Here is a 16,310-nt window from a genome sequence, read left to right as displayed (position 1 = left end):
CTGTGCACATGCAGGCCCAACACCACATGGAAGCTGCCAAACCTTGGGGCTTGCACCCTCAGAAGCAATGGCCTGAGTTGTACGTTGGCGCCTTTTAGCCATGACTGGGATGCAGGGAACCAAGTCCTGAGATGACACAAAGCAGCAAGGCCCTGGGCCTGGCCCATTAAACCATTTTTTCCTCCTAGGCTTCCCAACCTGTGATGGGAGGGGATACTGTGAAGACCTCTGATAGGCCCTGGAGATATTTTCCCCATTGTCTTGGTGATTAACATTTGACTCCTTGTTACTTACGCAAATTTCTGCAGTTGGCTTGAAGTTCTCCCCAGAAAATGGGTTTTTCTTTTCTATTACATTGTCAGACTACAAATTTTCCAAACTTTTATGCTTTGCTTCCCTTTTAAATGGAAGTTCCAATTTCAGATCATCTCTCTCAAGTTCAAAGTTATACAGATCTCTAGGGCAGGGGCAAAATGCCACCAGTCTCTTTGCTAAAGCATAGCAAGAATGACCCTTGCTCTAGTTTCCAATAAGTTCCTCATCTCCATCTGTGACCACCTCAGCCTGGACTTCATTGTCCATATCACTATCAGCATTTTGGTCAAAACCATTCGACAAGTCTCTAGGAAGTTCCAAACTTTCCCACATCTTCCTGTCTTCTTCTGAGCCCTCGAAACTGTTCCAACCTCTGCCTGTTACAAAGTTGGTTCCACATTTTTGGGTATCCTTATAGCAGTACCTCACTCTCCGCAGTACCAATTCTCTGTATTAGTCCATTCTCACACTGCTATCAAGAACTTTCCTGAGACTGGGTAATTTATAAAGAAAAGAGGTTTAATTGATTCACAGTTCCACATGGCTGAGAACACCTCAGGAAACTTACAACCATGGTGGCAGGTGAAGGCAAAGCAAGGACCTTCTTCACATGGCAGCAGGAGAGAGAAGTGCAAGCAGGCAAAATGCCAGACACTTATAAAACCATCAGATCTCATGATAACTCACTATTGTGAGAACAAGATGGGGGAACCGCCCCCGTGATCCAATTGCTTCCCTCCCTCAACATGTGGGGATTATAGGTCCCTCCCTTGAAACATGGGGATTACAATTGAAGATGAGATTCAGGTGGGGACACAGAGCCAAACCATATCATAATGTTATGAGGCAAGCATTATTATTACCTTCATTGTATGGATGAGAAGACTGAATCACAGAAGTAAAAGTAAGGGGTAAAGCTGGGATTTGAACCCTGAAACACTGGCTCTCAACAACTGTACCTTGTTTCCATGAATATACTGAAGTTGATATTTTAAAATCAGGATGGTTGAAAAACGCTCAAACACTATAATCAAAGAACATCAAGCCAATATGCTTTTTTTTTCTTTTACTGGACTTTAGTATTTCTTATCTTGTACAACCCAAGCATTAGCAACCTGGACATCTCTAGGTCTTCCAAATCTCACTTTAATATTGTAAAAACTGGCTCAATGCTCTCTTCAGCAGCACATATACTAAAATTGGAATGATACAGAGAAGATTACCATGGCCCTTGCACAAGGATGACATGCAAATTCATGTTCACAAAAATTCATTTGTGATTCATGTTCTTGTTAATGAGCAATAAGAAAACATCTGAAGGTACAAAACTCACTGATAATACTAAGTATAGAGATAAACACAAAATATTATGACAAGGTAATTGTGGTGTGTAAACTACTCATGCACTGAGTAGAAAGACCAAAAGATGAACCTATCAACTATGATGACGATAACAGCTTTTCAAGACAGACAGTGTAAGATATAAATAGAAACAACTAAAAGTTAAAAAGTAGGGGTGATGAAGTTAAAATGTAGACTTTGTATTAGTTTTGTCTTTGCTTGTTCGTTTTTGCTATCAATGTTGAGTTGTCATTAGTTTAAAATAATTGGTTATAAGACATTATTAGCAAGCTTCATGGTAACCTCAAATTAAAAAAGCCTACATTAGATACACAAAAAATAAAAAGCAAGAAATTAAAACACACCACCAGAAAAAAAAAATCACCTTCACAAAAAGGAAGACAGATGGACGGACAGATGGAAGGAAGGAAGGGAGGGAGGAAGGGAGGGAGGGAGGGGGGAAGGAAGGAAGGAAGGAAGGAAGGAAGGAAGGACAGATCACACAACAACCAGGAAAAAAATCGATAAGTAAGTCCTTATCAATAATAACATTGAATATAAATGGACTAAACTCTCCAATCAAAATGTATAGAGTGGCTGAATGAATTAAAAAACATGATCTGAGCCGAGTGCAGTGGCTCACACCTGTAATCCCAGCAATTTGGGAGCCTGAGGCAGGTGGATTGCTTGAGCCCGGGAGTTCAAGACCAGCCTGGGCAACATGGCAAAACCCTGTCTCTACAAAACATTCAAAAATTAGCCAGGCATGGTAGCATGCGTCTATAGTCCCAGCTACTCAGGAGGCCAAGGTAGGAGGATCACTTGAGTCTGAGAGGCAGAGGTTGCAATGAGCCAAGATTGTGCCACTGCATGCCAGCCTGGGCAAGACAGTGAGACTCTGTCTCAAAAAACAAACAAACAAACAAACAAAACCCCATGATCTGTTGCCTACAAGGAACACACTTTATGTATAAAGACACACAAAGAAATGGAAAAATATATTCTATGCCAATGGGAACCAAAAAAGAGCAGAAGTAGCTATACTTATATCAGACAAAATAGATTTTAAGACAGAAACTATAAGAAGAGACAAAGAAGGTCATTATGTAATTGTAAAGGGGTCAATTCAGCAAGAGGATATAACAATTGTAAATATATAAGCACTCAACATTGGAGGACCAAGATATATAAAGCAAATATCATTACAGCCAAAGAGAGAGAGATAGGCCCCAATACAATAATATCTGGAGACTTCAACATCCTACTTTCAGCATTGGACAGATCGTACAGACAGAAGACAAACAACAAAACATCAGACTTAATCTGCACCATTAACCACAAGGACCTAATAGATATTTACAGAACATTTCAACCAATGGCTGCAGAATACACATTCCTCTCCTCACCTCATGGATCATTCTCAAGGATAGACCATATGTTAGGCCACAAAACAAGTCTTTATAAAAATTCAAAAAAATTGAAATTATATTGCATCTTCTCTGACCACAATGTAATAAAATTAGAAATCAATAACATGAGGAACATTGGGAACTATACGAGCACATGGAAATTAAACAATATGCTCTTGAATGGCCAGTGGGTCAATTAAGAAAATAAGAAGAAAATTTTAAAATTTCTTGAAACAAAAAATGGAAACAATAAGTACAAAAACTTATATGATACAACAAAAACAGTAGTAAGAGGAAAGTTTGTAGCAATAAACATCTACATCAAAAAAGCAGAAAAACTTACACAAACAACCTAACAATGCATCTTTAAAAACTATAAAAGCAAGAGCAAACCAAACCTAAAATTTGTAGAAGAAAATAAGTAATAAAAATCAGAGCAGAAATAAATGACATAGAAATGAATAAAACAATACAAAAAATCAATGAAACAAAACTTGTTTTTTTAAAAAAAGAGATAAACAAAACTGACAAACCTTTAGCCAGGCTAGTAAACCAAGAAAGAAGACCTAAATAAATAAAATCAGAGAGGAAAAAGGAGACACTGCAACTGATATCACAGAAATTCAAAGGATCATTAGAGACAACTATGAGCAACTATATGCCAATAAATTAGAAAACCTAGAAGAAATGGACAAATTCCTAGACACATACAACCTACCAAGATTGAACCATGAAAAAATCTAAAACCTGAACAGATTAATAACAAGTAATGAGATTGAAGTCATAATAAAAAGTCTCCCAGTAAAGAATACCCTGAGACCCCATGGCTTCACTGCTGAATTTTCTGAAGCATTTAAAGAAGATCTAATATCAATCCTACCCAAGCTATTAAAAAAAAAAAAAAGAAGAGGAGGGAATACTTCCAACTCATTCTATGAGGCCAGTATTACCCTGATACCAAAACCAGACAAAGATGCATCCAAAAAAATGATTTTTTTTAGTTTTCTAAAAACACCAAAGATATCCCTGGTGAGTATTAATGCAAAAATTATCAACAAAATAAATACTAGCAAACCAAACTTAACAACACACTAAAAAGATCGTTCATCAAGATCAAGTGCGATTTATCTCAGAGATGCAAGGATAATTCAATATATGCAAATCAATCCATGTAATACATCATTATCAACAGAATGAAGGAAAAAAAATCATATGATTATTTCAAGTAATGCTGAAAAAGTAGATGACAAAGTTTAATATCCCTTCATGGTAATAACCCTTGAAAAACTGCATATAGAAGGAACATACCTCAACATAATAAGAACTATATATGACAGACCCACAGCTAGTATTACATTGAATAAGGAAAAACTGAAAGCCTTTCCTCCTAAGATCTGGAAGAGGATAAGGATGCCCACTGTCACCACTGTTATTCCACATAGTACTGGAAGTTCTAGCTAGAGCAATCAGACAAAAGAAAGACATCCAAATTGGAAAGGAAGAAGTCAAATTATCCTTGTTTGCAGATGATATAATCTTATATTTGGAAAAACCCAAAAACTCCACCAAAAAACTATTTGAACTGATAAACAAATTCAGTAAAGTTGCAGGATACAAAATAAACAAACAAAGGTTAGTAGCCTTTCTATATTCCAACAGTGAATAATCTGAAAAAGAAATGAAGAAACTAATCCTATTAATAATAGCTACCAATAAAATAAGCTACCTAGGAACAAACATAACCAAAGAAGTGAAATGTCTTTACAATAGAAACTATAAAACACTGATGCAAGGAATTGAAGAGGACACACACACACACACACACACACACACATACAAAATGAAAAGATATTCCATGTTCATGGATTGGAAGAATCAATATTGTTAAAATATTCACACTACCAAAAGCAATCTACAGATTCAGTGTAATCTCTATCAAAATACCAATGACATTCTTTACAGAAGTAGAAAAAACAATCCTAAAATTTATGTGGAACCACAGAGGACCCAGAATAGCCAAAGCTATCCTGAATGATATGGTTAGGCTGTGTCCTCACCCAAATCTCATCTTGAATTGTAGCTCCCATAATTCCCACATGTTGTGGGAGGGACCTGGTGGGAGGTAATTGAATCATGGGGGCAGGTCTTTCCCATGCTGTTCTCATGATAGTGAATAAGTCTCATGAGATCTGATGGTTGTATAAAGGGGAGTTCCCCTGCACATGCTCTCTTGCCTGCTGCCATGTAAGAGGTGACTTTGCTCCTCCTTTGCCTTCCACCATGATTGTGAGGCCTTCCCAGTCATGTGGACCTGTGAGTCAATTAAACCTCTTTCCTTTATAAATTACCCAGTCTCAGGTATGTCTTTATTAGCAGTGTGAGAACAGACTAATACACTGAGCAAAAAGAACAAAATGGGAGGAATCACATTACCTGACTTCAAATTATACCACAGAGCTATGGTTATGGTAACCAAAATGACATAGTACTGGCGTAAAGACAGACACACAGACCAATGTAACAGAATACAGAACCCAGAAATAAACCCACATATCTACAGTGAACTCATTTTTGACAAAAGTGCCAAGAATATACATTGGGGAAAGCATAGTCTCTTCAATAAATGGTGCTGGGAAAACTGGATATCCATCTGCAAAAGAATGAAACTAGATCCCTATCTCATGCCATATGTAAAAATCAAATCAAAATGGACTAAACACTTACATCTCAGACCTCAAACTATGAAACAACTAAAAGAAAACATTGGGGAAACTCTCCAGGACATTGGACTGGGCAAAGATTCCTTGAGTAATACCCCACAAGCACAGGCAACCAAAGCAAAATGGACAAATGGGATCACATCAAGTTAAAAAGCTTCTGCACAGCAAAGGAAACATCAACAAAGTGAATAGACCACCCACAGAATGGGAGAAAATATTTGCAAACTACCCATCTGACAAGGGATTGATAACCAGAATACATAAGAAGCCCAAAGAACTCTATAGGACAAAATCTAACAATCTGATTAAAAATGGGCAAAAGAGCAGAATAGATATTTCTCTAAAGGAGACATAAAAATGGCAAACAGGTGTATAAAAAGGTGCTCAACATTAGTGATCATCAGATAAATGCAGATCAAAGCTACAATGAGAGATCACCTCACCACAGTAAAAATAGTTTTTATCCAAAAGACAATAATGAATGCTTCTGAGGATGTGGAGAAAAGGAAACCCTGATACACTGTTGGTGGGAATGTAAACTAGTACAACCACTATGAAGAAAAGTATGGTAGTTCCTTAAAAAACACTAAAAATATAGTTACTACATAATCCAGCAATCCCACTGCCAGATATATACCCCAAAGAAAGGAAATCAGTATTTTGAAGAAATATGTGCACTTCCACATTTATTGTGGCACTATTCACAATAGCCAAGATTTGGAGGCAATCTAAGTATCCATCAACAGATGAATGGAGAAAGAAAAGTGATACATATACACAATGGAGTACTATTCAGTCATAAAAAAGAATGAGATCCTGTCATATGCAACAACAGGGATGGAACTGGAGGTCCTTATGTTCAATGAAATAAGCCAGGCACAGAAAGAGAAACTTCACATATGCTCACTCATTAGTGGGAGCTAAAAATTAAAATAACTGAACTCATGGAGATGGAGAGTAGAATGATGGTTGCCAGAGGCTGGGCAGGGTAGTGTTGGGGGAGGGGGGTGCAGTGGTGATTAAAGGTTACAAAAATATAGTTAGAAAGATTAAATAAGATCTAGTATTTGATAGCACAACAGGGTGACTACACTAAACAGTAATTTATTGTGCATTTTAAAACAATTAAAAGAGTACAATTGGAATGTTTGTCGTACAAAGAAACGATAAATGCTTGAGGTGTGGATACTTCATTTACCCTGATGTGATTATTATACATTGTACATTTGTATCAAATATCTCATCTACTCTATAAATACATGTATACATACTATGTACTAATTTAAAAAAAACTGCCTCAAACCCATGAAGTGAACATTGCAGTTGTCTCTCCAGCATCCATGCACACTCACCTGCCCTTCCTCCATGTGTAGAAGCCATGATTTGAGTGGGTTGACCCTGCCCCTGTTGGTGTCAGTATAACCTCACCTCTTCGTCTCAGTGATTATTTCAGAGATGGGGAGTCCTATGGTTGAATGTGTCTTCCAAATTTTCTGTGTTAGGAACTTAATCCCCAGTGAAACAGTGTTGGGCCATGGGACCTAGGAAGAGGAGATTAGGTCATGAAGGTTCTGCCTTCATGAATAAATTAAAGTTGTTATCAAGGGAATGGGTTAGTCATCTTGACAGTGGGCTTGTTATAACAAGCTTGACTCCCTCTTGTTCTCTTGCTCTTCTGTCTTCTACCATGGAATGACACAGCAAGAAGGCCCTCACCAGATGCTGAGTAGAAGCCAGCACTACGCCCTTGGACTTCCCAGCCTCCAGATCTGTGAGCCAAATACATTTCTCCTGTATAAATTACCCAGTCTGGGCCGGGCGTGGTGGCTCATGCCTGTAATCCCAGAACTTTGGGAGGCCAACGTGGGTGGATCACGAGGTTTAGGAGATCAAGACCATCCTGGCTAACATGCTGAAACCCCGTCTCTACTAAAAATACAAAAAATTAACAGGGTGTGGTGGCGGGCACCTGTAGTCCCAGCTACTCAGGAGGCTGAGGCAGGAGAATGGCATGAACCCGGGAGGCGGAGCTTGCAGTGAGCTGAGATCGCACCACTGCACTCCAGCCTGGGTGACAGAGTGAGACTCTGTCTCAAAAAAAATAAAAATAAAAATAAAAATAAATAAATAAATAAATTACCCAATCTGTGGCATTCTGTCATAGCAGCACAAAATGGGTGAAGACAGGGAGTAACCAAAGAAGAAAAGCCCATCAGCACCTAGTGTTCCTTGCACCACAGGGACTCGTTCAAATTGGTTCAATCTTGGAAAGTGCAAGGTTTTGTTTAATAGTTGTGGAAGGAAACAGCTCCCTTTTGCATCTCACCTCATTGTTCTCTCTTCCTTGTACCTATAAAGGTACTGAGTCCTTGTTTCTTTGACTTAACCTTCCCAAAGAACCAGTACCACAAGGCAGAGTATGTGGCAGATGTTTACTGGAAGTTGAAGACAATGGAGATGGCTACATAACACATAGAACAACAAAAACTCAACATAAAAGATTAGCCTGTTTTCCAAAGTCTCTATGCTCCCCCTCCAATCTGGCTTTCTTTTCCCCTTAGTCACCAGTTTCCACCACCATGCTCAACAACTCTGGCTCCAACTTCCCTGCATCTTGTTTATTTTCCCTCACTTCCTGGGCCCCTCACCCTCTTCTTCTCCAGCTGCTATGCAAAACCAGAACATTCTCATTTCCTTTGCAAACTAGTTCAGCCTTCCTTTTTCTTATCTTCTTCTTTACAGCAAGGTTTATGTTTTATTTCCCACCCCGATGAATAAACCAAGATATTTTTTAAACCCAAATTGCTCCTTGAGAGAAATTGTACTGTGGCTTCCAGCTTTTAGAATATTTTCTCTATGTTGCACTGTTAAAGAAAATATGATCTGCCCTATCAATTGAACAGACCTTGTGCCCTGACTTCACAGGCCATTTTCTGCCAGCCATGACATCCTATCAATTCTGCATCAGAGAAACTCTCAAATTAAGCCCTTCTTCTCCCACCCTACTCTGTTCTGCTATATTTCAGGCCACCATTGTCTCTCCCTAGACTGGGGTTACCAAAGACCATTCCACAGACTCTGATAAAGTTTGTGCTAATCTTCAGGGAAAAATAAAAATAATGCAGTGAGTTTCTCCATAAGTCTAAATTCATTTAGAATAACTAATTCAAAACTGGATATCCACATGTAAATAATGAAGTTGGACCCTTACCTTTCATCCATATACCAAAATTAATTTAAAATGAATCAGAGACTTAAATACAAGAGCTATAAAATTCTTAGAAGAAAACATTGGGAAAAGCTTCTTGACACTGGATTTGGCAATGATTTCTTGGCTTTGACACCAAAAGCACAGACAACAAAGGATAAAATTGATAAATTGTACTTCATCAAAATTAAAACCTTTTATGTATCATAGGCCATATAAACAGAGTGGAAAGGCAACCCACAGAATGGGAGAAAATGTTGCAAATTATATATCTGATAAGAGAGTAATATCCAAACTATTTAAGGAACTCCCACAACTTAACAAAAACAAAACAAACAACTGGATATACGAATGGGCAAAGGACTTGAATAGACATTTCTTCAAAGCTACACAAATGGCCAATAAGCACATGAAAAGACACACTAATCATTAAGGAAACGCAAATAAAAGACATAATGAGATACAACTTCACATCCACTCAGATGGAAATTATCAAAAACAAAACAAACAAAATCGAAAAACAAGCATTGGCAAGGATACGGGGAAATTGGAATACCTAGAATGAGTTAGGGTGTATTTCCTCCTGTTCAATATTTTGGAAAAGTTTGAGAAGGACTGGTGTCAGTTCCTTAAATATTTGATATTTCTTGAAAAGAAGAATTCTTTTCTTAAGAATAAGAAAATATTTCCTGGAAGTCATCCATTAAACCTGCCCTCACATCTAAGTATTAGATTACATGCTATGTCAGAGATTCATGGTTACACATTATAGCCTTTTCCTACTTCTCTAAGTGAAGAGAATTCTGACTTTTTGATGGGTTCTTTATGCATTGTACAAGCCACACACTGTCACTTCTGTCTTGTTCTACTTGTTAGATGTGAGTTATTAAATCCAGCCCACACTCAACAGGAGGCGGTTATACAAGAGTGATTACCAAGAACCAGGGATCACTGGGGACCATCCTGAAGGTGAGCTACAATGGATCTACTGTGTGCCAGGACCACCTTAGGCACTTTACATGTGTCTAGTCTTTACAGCATTGTGGCCAAGTAGGTATTATTATTACTATTTTAGAAATTTAAAAAACATAAAAGAAAATACTAATGTGGTGGCCATGAAAATACTCTGCTCAAATCTCCTTCCAGAGAATCTTCTGTGGAGAGTATAGTTAGTTGACAGCCCCACTGTTACTCTAGAATTATTCCCAAATTTGAACTAAGGCATTGCTTTCCCTGGGCTGCTGCTGGCCAGTGACTGAACACAGCTGGGGCATCAGAGATGGCCCATTCCTGGAGGATGCAGGTCTTATCTAATGGGCAATGTTCACTCAGGGACTTCCCATTGGCCTGTCTGAAAATGTCTCAGAAAAATCTGGGGCTTTTCCTACACAATCCTCCTTCCTTACCACTCTTCTTTCACAGATGTCAGACCCGCCTTGGAGTCTAAGACTGTCCTTGCCCATTCCTGCTCTTTGCCTTTTATCCTTCACAGGAATTTTCTTCCAATAAATCTCTTGCATGTCTAATTCTACATGGTGTTTGTTTCTCAGAAGACCCAAACTTATGTGTCAGAAAAGTTGAGTGATTTGCCCAAGTGAGTTGGGGGCATAGATGGGATTTGAACACATGTTTTGACTCCAAAGGCCAAACCCAAGCTCCTTCAACACAGCATGCTATCACTTTGTACTGGGTTAATGGTGGCCCTCCAAAAGATAAATTCATATCCTAACACCTGTAACCTGTGAAGGTGACCTTATTTGGAAAAAGGTCTTTGTAGATATAAGTTAAGGATCTTGAATTATTTGTGTGGACCCTAAATCTTATGACAAGAATCCTTAGACAAGACAGAAAAAGAAGAAGACACAGATACAGGGAGAAGGCCAGAGATTAGAAGGATACCCTGAAGTCATCAGAAAGTGGAAGAGGCAAGGAAGGATATTTCCCAAGAGCCTTCAGTGGGAGCTTGACTCTGGATATCACCTTGATTTCAGACTTCTGGGCTCCAGTTCTATGAGAGAGTAAATTTCCACTGTTTTCAGCCACCCAGTTTGTGGTCATTTGTTACGGCAGCCACGGGGAACTAACACAAGTATTTAACCTCTAACTTTAATACTAGCACAGTGCCTGGCACATATTAGGTGTTTTTAAAGCGTGATCCTTGTGGCACATATACACCATGGAATACTACACAGTCATAAAAAAGAATGAGTTCATGTACTTTGCAGGGACATGGATGAAGCTGGAAGCCATCATTCGTAGCAAACAGAAACAGAAAACCAAACACTGCATGTTCTTCCTCATAAGTGGGAGTTGAACAATGAGAACACATGGACACAGGGAGGGGAAAATCACACACTGAGGCCTGTTAGGGGGTTAGGGGCAAGGAGAGCGAGAGCATTAGGACAAATACCTAATGCATGCGGGGCTTAAAACCTAGATGACGGGTTGATAGGTGCAGCAAACCACCATGGCACATGTGTGCCTATGTAACAAACCAGCACATTCTGCACGTGTATCCCAGAACTTAAAGTAAAATTAAAAAAAAAAAAAAAGAGTGATCCTTACTTGCTCTGGGAAGGTTTTTAAAAAGAGCTAATTAGTTAATAGATAACTACATGGGGATGATGAAACAAAGCTTTAAACTGCTTCTAAGTAACTCGGATTGAATACTATAAAATTGTACTTGACGATTGATTTCTAGTTTGAGTGTTATCTAGGAAGAGAATGAATATTTGTGGAGTGCCTGCTGTGTACCAGACACTAAGATAAGTTTTATTCATAAATTACATCAGTGGGAGGAAATATTATAAATTATAACGGTGAAAGCAAGGCTTTTGGAGTCAAATTTGAGCTCTGATTCTCATTAGCTGTATGACCTTTAGCAAATTATTTGAACTCTCTTAGCCAAAATTTACTTATCTGAAAAATAGAAAAGTGATTCCTATCTCCCTTCCCTGCTTTGAAGATTAAAGGAGATAATGAATGAAGCAGCTGAGCACAGTGTCTGGCACATAGAAAATTTCAACAAACATCAGTTATTAGGAGTGAACCATGCTGGTGGGTGCAGGACTGTCGAAGTGGGAACTAGGGCTCTCATCTGAGAACAAGAGGTGCTAGATACTCCCTTCTAAGAGGTCAGAGAACTACAGTGTTTGGGACAAGCTAAGTCCCCACAGGGCTTGCTGAGAAATTCCAGTTTCAGCCCCACAAACACGAACCCCCCAACTCCTTTCTCCTGCAGGTGAACTGGGAGTATGGAGAAGACAGTCTCTTTGTGTTAGGCCTGCATCTCCCTAAGGTCGAGGAGGGTGGAGGTGGGAGGGGGTGCTATGAATTTACTTAAGGGAGGAGACTAAACTGAGCCTCTGCCTATACTAATGTGGCGCTGCGGCTGTCTAGCATAGGAACGTTGCCAGGCCCGTGAACCAGCAGAGGTTCTGAGTCTTCCAGGACACTCAGGTTTCCGTGACATACCAAAGCTTGGAAGGAGAAATGCCTTCCCTAGTTCCCTCCATCCCTGTCTGTAACCTGTGACAGACAACCCCAGTATTCCACACACCCCAACAAGGCTGCCTAGTCAGGGAGGGGACCCTTGGCAGCAAGAGGCTGTTAGGGGCTCAGGGCTGCTTCCGTCAGAGGGCTGATCTGGGGAGAGCAAGCTGAATACTGATCTCCCACACCACAGGCGAAGCAGCAGGAAGACCCTCACAGGGCCCTCCGAGGAACCAACAAACGGGTTTCACAGAAGTGCCCATATTTGGACGCCTGCCATACCCTGGAACAAATGGCCCGTCGTCATCAAATGGAGGAGCTGTGGTGGCCAACAGAGCGGATTACAAGCTTACAACAGGCATCCAAATAAGATGAGACCTGCCTGTCTTTCTCCTCCTGCCCCCAACACCAGCGCAGTGCATGCTGGGAAGGGGGAGGTGTTGGGGGAAGCTGAGGAGGCCAGGCCGCCCTCCCAGGGTCTGGCCGTCCTGTCAGCCTGGGTTGCCCATGAGAATCACATGGGGAAGCTTTCAGGAATTCTTCATGAGCCCAGATATTCTGGTTTAACTGGTCTGGAGTGGAACCTAGGCACTGACATTTTTAATGAGCAGCTGAGGCTGCAAACCACTTCTCTAAAGCCAAAGTAGTAGCCTGCGCCGCTGGGGGAAGGTGTAGGATTGCAAGAATTCGCAAATACAAATAAAAGTATCATATGACACTTACGTTAAACACTATCTAAAATTCTAATTTCACTGGGCATTCTGTATTGATAAAATATTGATAGTGACAATCTTAGGAGGGTAGGAAAAATATTTGGATTGGGTAGAAGATTGAAATTTGAAAATGAACAAACAGGGCAGAGTCTTAAGGATCAGAAGTAACGGTTTAGTATTAAAAGGTGACTGCAGGCCGGGCGCGGTGGCTCACGCCTGTAATCCCAGCACTTTGGGAGGCCGAGGCGGGCGGATCACGAGGTCAGGAGATCGAGACCATCCCGGCTAAAACGGTGAAACCCCGTCTCTACTAAAAATACAAAAAATTAGCCGGGCGTAGTGGCGGGCGCCTGTAGTCCCAGCTACTTGGGAGGCTGAGGCAGGAGAATGGCGTGAACCCGGGAGGCGGAGCTTGCAGTGAGCCGAGATCCCGCCACTGCACTCCAGCCTGGGCGACAGAGCAGGACTCCGTCTCAAAAAAAAAAAAAAAAAAAGGTGACTGCAATGTTATGGAATGGGGCTGAGCTGTCAAGAAAGGAGATGTTACCCGGTGAAAAATAGGGGTATTTGACATAAGCACACTGGGGGCAGTTGCAGAAAAAATAAAACCATTTCATATTTATGCCCCTAGTGAGATGAGCCTCCCAGTAAACCAGTTATGTCATTACAACCAACAACCTTGCAGAAGGGATGAGAGAATGGAAGCTGAGAGAATTTATGTGATTTGTGGAAGTTCAACACAGCTCGTAAGTGACAAACCAGGATTTGAACCAAAGTCAGTTTGTCTTTAAAAAAACAAAAAGGTAGCAAGTTCTTTCTACTATACCATAATGACTTCTAGAACTTTTCTTTCTCCCTTTTCGTTTGTTTGTTTGTGTTTTTTTTTGAGATGAAGTTTCACTCTTGTTGCCCAGGCTAGAGTGCAATGGCTCGATCTTGGCTCACTGCAACCTCCACCTCCCAGGTTCAAGCAATTTCCCTGCCTCAGCCTCCCGAGTAGCTGGGATTACAGGCATGCACCACCACGCCCAGCTAATTTGTATTTTTAATAGAGATAGGGTTTCTCCATGTTGGGCAGGCTGGTCTCAAACTCCTGACCTCAGGTGATTCACCTGCCTCAGCCTCCCAAAGTGCTGGGATTACAGGTGTGAGCCACTGCACCCGGCCTAGAACTTTTATTTGGTACTAGTAATACTAGTAGATTGCTTCCCTAAAACAAGCAGGGAAAGGAAGCAAAAAGCCCAGAGAAGCGCCCCCACCACCCTCCACCCCCTACCCCCATTAAAGTACAGAGTGAAGAGAGGCAGGGACTGGGGCTGTACATTTTGGACCCTACAGACTGGTCCTATCCCTGGCCTTGCTGACATCTGTAGGTGATCAAGGTGAAAGCAGAAGACCCTTCTGTCTCCTCATTCTCTCAGCTGCTGAGCAGCCAAATATGGGGAGCTGCGTGAATGTTTATTTCGCAGGAAGTTCTGCTGCTCCATCATGATGTCTCCTGCTTATATTTCTGTAATTAAATGTCATCTCATTGTGCATGTACTTGTTGTGCTTAAGCCCCAAGGCTGTTTTAGTAAAGGGTACAATTTTGTAAATCAAATGGAGAAAAATAAACGAAACCACCTGTTCTGTGAGACAGTGTGCTGCCAAGCGTGGAGCTCTCCTGTCCCTCCCTGCCTCCTCCAGAGTCCAGGAGGGGAGGGCAAGAGAAGCCCCCAGGATGGGGGGTGAGGAGTGTAACCACTTCAGTGAGGGGTACCTTGTCCCTATTCAAAAGTAACTCTTTAGTAGGGGGCTCACCACTGCAGGGCCTTGGCTTTCAGTGGGCCAAGAACAGCTGTTGTGACAGGCGGGGACAGCCACTCAGGACATGAGGGAAGTCAGGCTGCAGAAGGTGGACAGCCCAAGAAGTCCCTTAGGCTCACATATGGGAAAGCAAAACTTATGATTGAATAATTCCAGCCTTTGCCTCGCCCATTCTCACCTTCTGTTAAACAAAAAGCTGTCTTTTCCCTCTCAGGGTCTCTCCTTCCTCCCCCATATGGAGAACTCCGTGTTTGCCAGCCTGTCTCCTGGGATTTCAAGATGCGGCATAAGAGTAGGTACAGAGAGACAGGACAAGAAACATAGGAAGGAAGAGAGAGGGAAACTAAACCGACTGGCTTGTGGGCTGGGCTTTGGGGAGCATTCTTTGTAGAGTTGAGAGGGAGATACAAAAGCAGTCTTAGGTTGGGAGAGAAATGGATTTGTTTCTCCTCTAAATAATTTATCGAGGAGAAATTCACATAACATAAAGTTAACCAGCTCTACGGGAACAATTCAGTGGCATTTGGCATATTCACAATGTTGCGCAACCAACCACCTCTGTCTCATTCCAAAATGCTTCCATCGCTCCAGGTAAGGGTATTTTAAGGTGTGTTGATGTGGATTATGCATTTGATCCCTTAATGTTTGTCAAGGGACGGAAGTGAAGATTGGAGTATATTTTTAATAACTGTTGACTTGTAGACTTTAACCTAGCAAAACTGGGTCAGGTGGACCCAAGGGGTTATTTGGGTTCTGTACAGCCATGGCCCCCAGGGCAGGAGACCTGTAGGAGTGCCTCACCCACCACCACATTAGGCTCTGTGCTCCCAGGTTTCCTACAGTGACTTTGGTACCTTGGTATTCTTAATGACCTGATCTTACCAGGTTACATGTTGGTGGGTGGGACGCACTCTGTGATATATCCTGCACCTATATGCTCTAAGACTGAGAGTCTGACCTCAGTATCCTCCAAGAGAGGACCCCACCAGCAGCCTGGTGTGAGCTTTGGGTTACCTCAACCCCTGAAGCAAGCTGAACTACTCATTCTTCTCCAAACATTCCCTGAAGCCTCCCACCTTTGTCCTTTCTGGTGTCTACACCAGCTTTCCCCCAGTTCTTTACTCCCAAATAACCAGATGCTAACAGTTTTTAAATTTTCTTATTGCTCATATAATATCTGATATGTGATTATGCATGCATGCTTAAGTACATGTACTTTCTCTCTCTCTCTCTCTCTCTCTCTCTCTCTCTACATATTTGAGTTTTTTGTTGGGTTCATTGCTTGCTTTGGAAAAATTGGATCATG

General features: G+C 41.1%; 1 long non-coding RNA gene and 1 pseudogene across 1 annotated transcript in view; one reads left to right on the top strand and one right to left on the bottom strand.

The window, feature by feature from the left end:
* The window catches only part of LOC105375653 (uncharacterized), a 39,647-nt gene extending 26,776 nt beyond the window's left edge, over positions 1–12,871 (bottom strand). The window contains exons 1-2 of the long non-coding RNA XR_928432.2: positions 12,768–12,871; positions 7,138–7,326 (exon numbers count right to left, since the gene is read on the bottom strand). This is a non-coding gene — a long non-coding RNA (uncharacterized LOC105375653). The remainder of the gene's footprint in view (positions 1–7,137; positions 7,327–12,767) is intronic.
* On the top strand, positions 1,485–1,591 carry RNU6-1172P (RNA, U6 small nuclear 1172, pseudogene; annotated as a pseudogene).
* Positions 12,872–16,310: the final 3,439 nt, after the last annotated feature.

The sequence above is a fragment of the Homo sapiens genome, chromosome 8, assembly GCF_000001405.40.
Source record: "Homo sapiens chromosome 8, GRCh38.p14 Primary Assembly".
NCBI classification, from domain to species: Eukaryota; Metazoa; Chordata; class Mammalia; order Primates; family Hominidae; genus Homo; species Homo sapiens.
The sequence above is the reverse complement of the archived record's forward strand: the minus strand, read 5'-3'. Positions and strand labels throughout refer to the sequence as shown.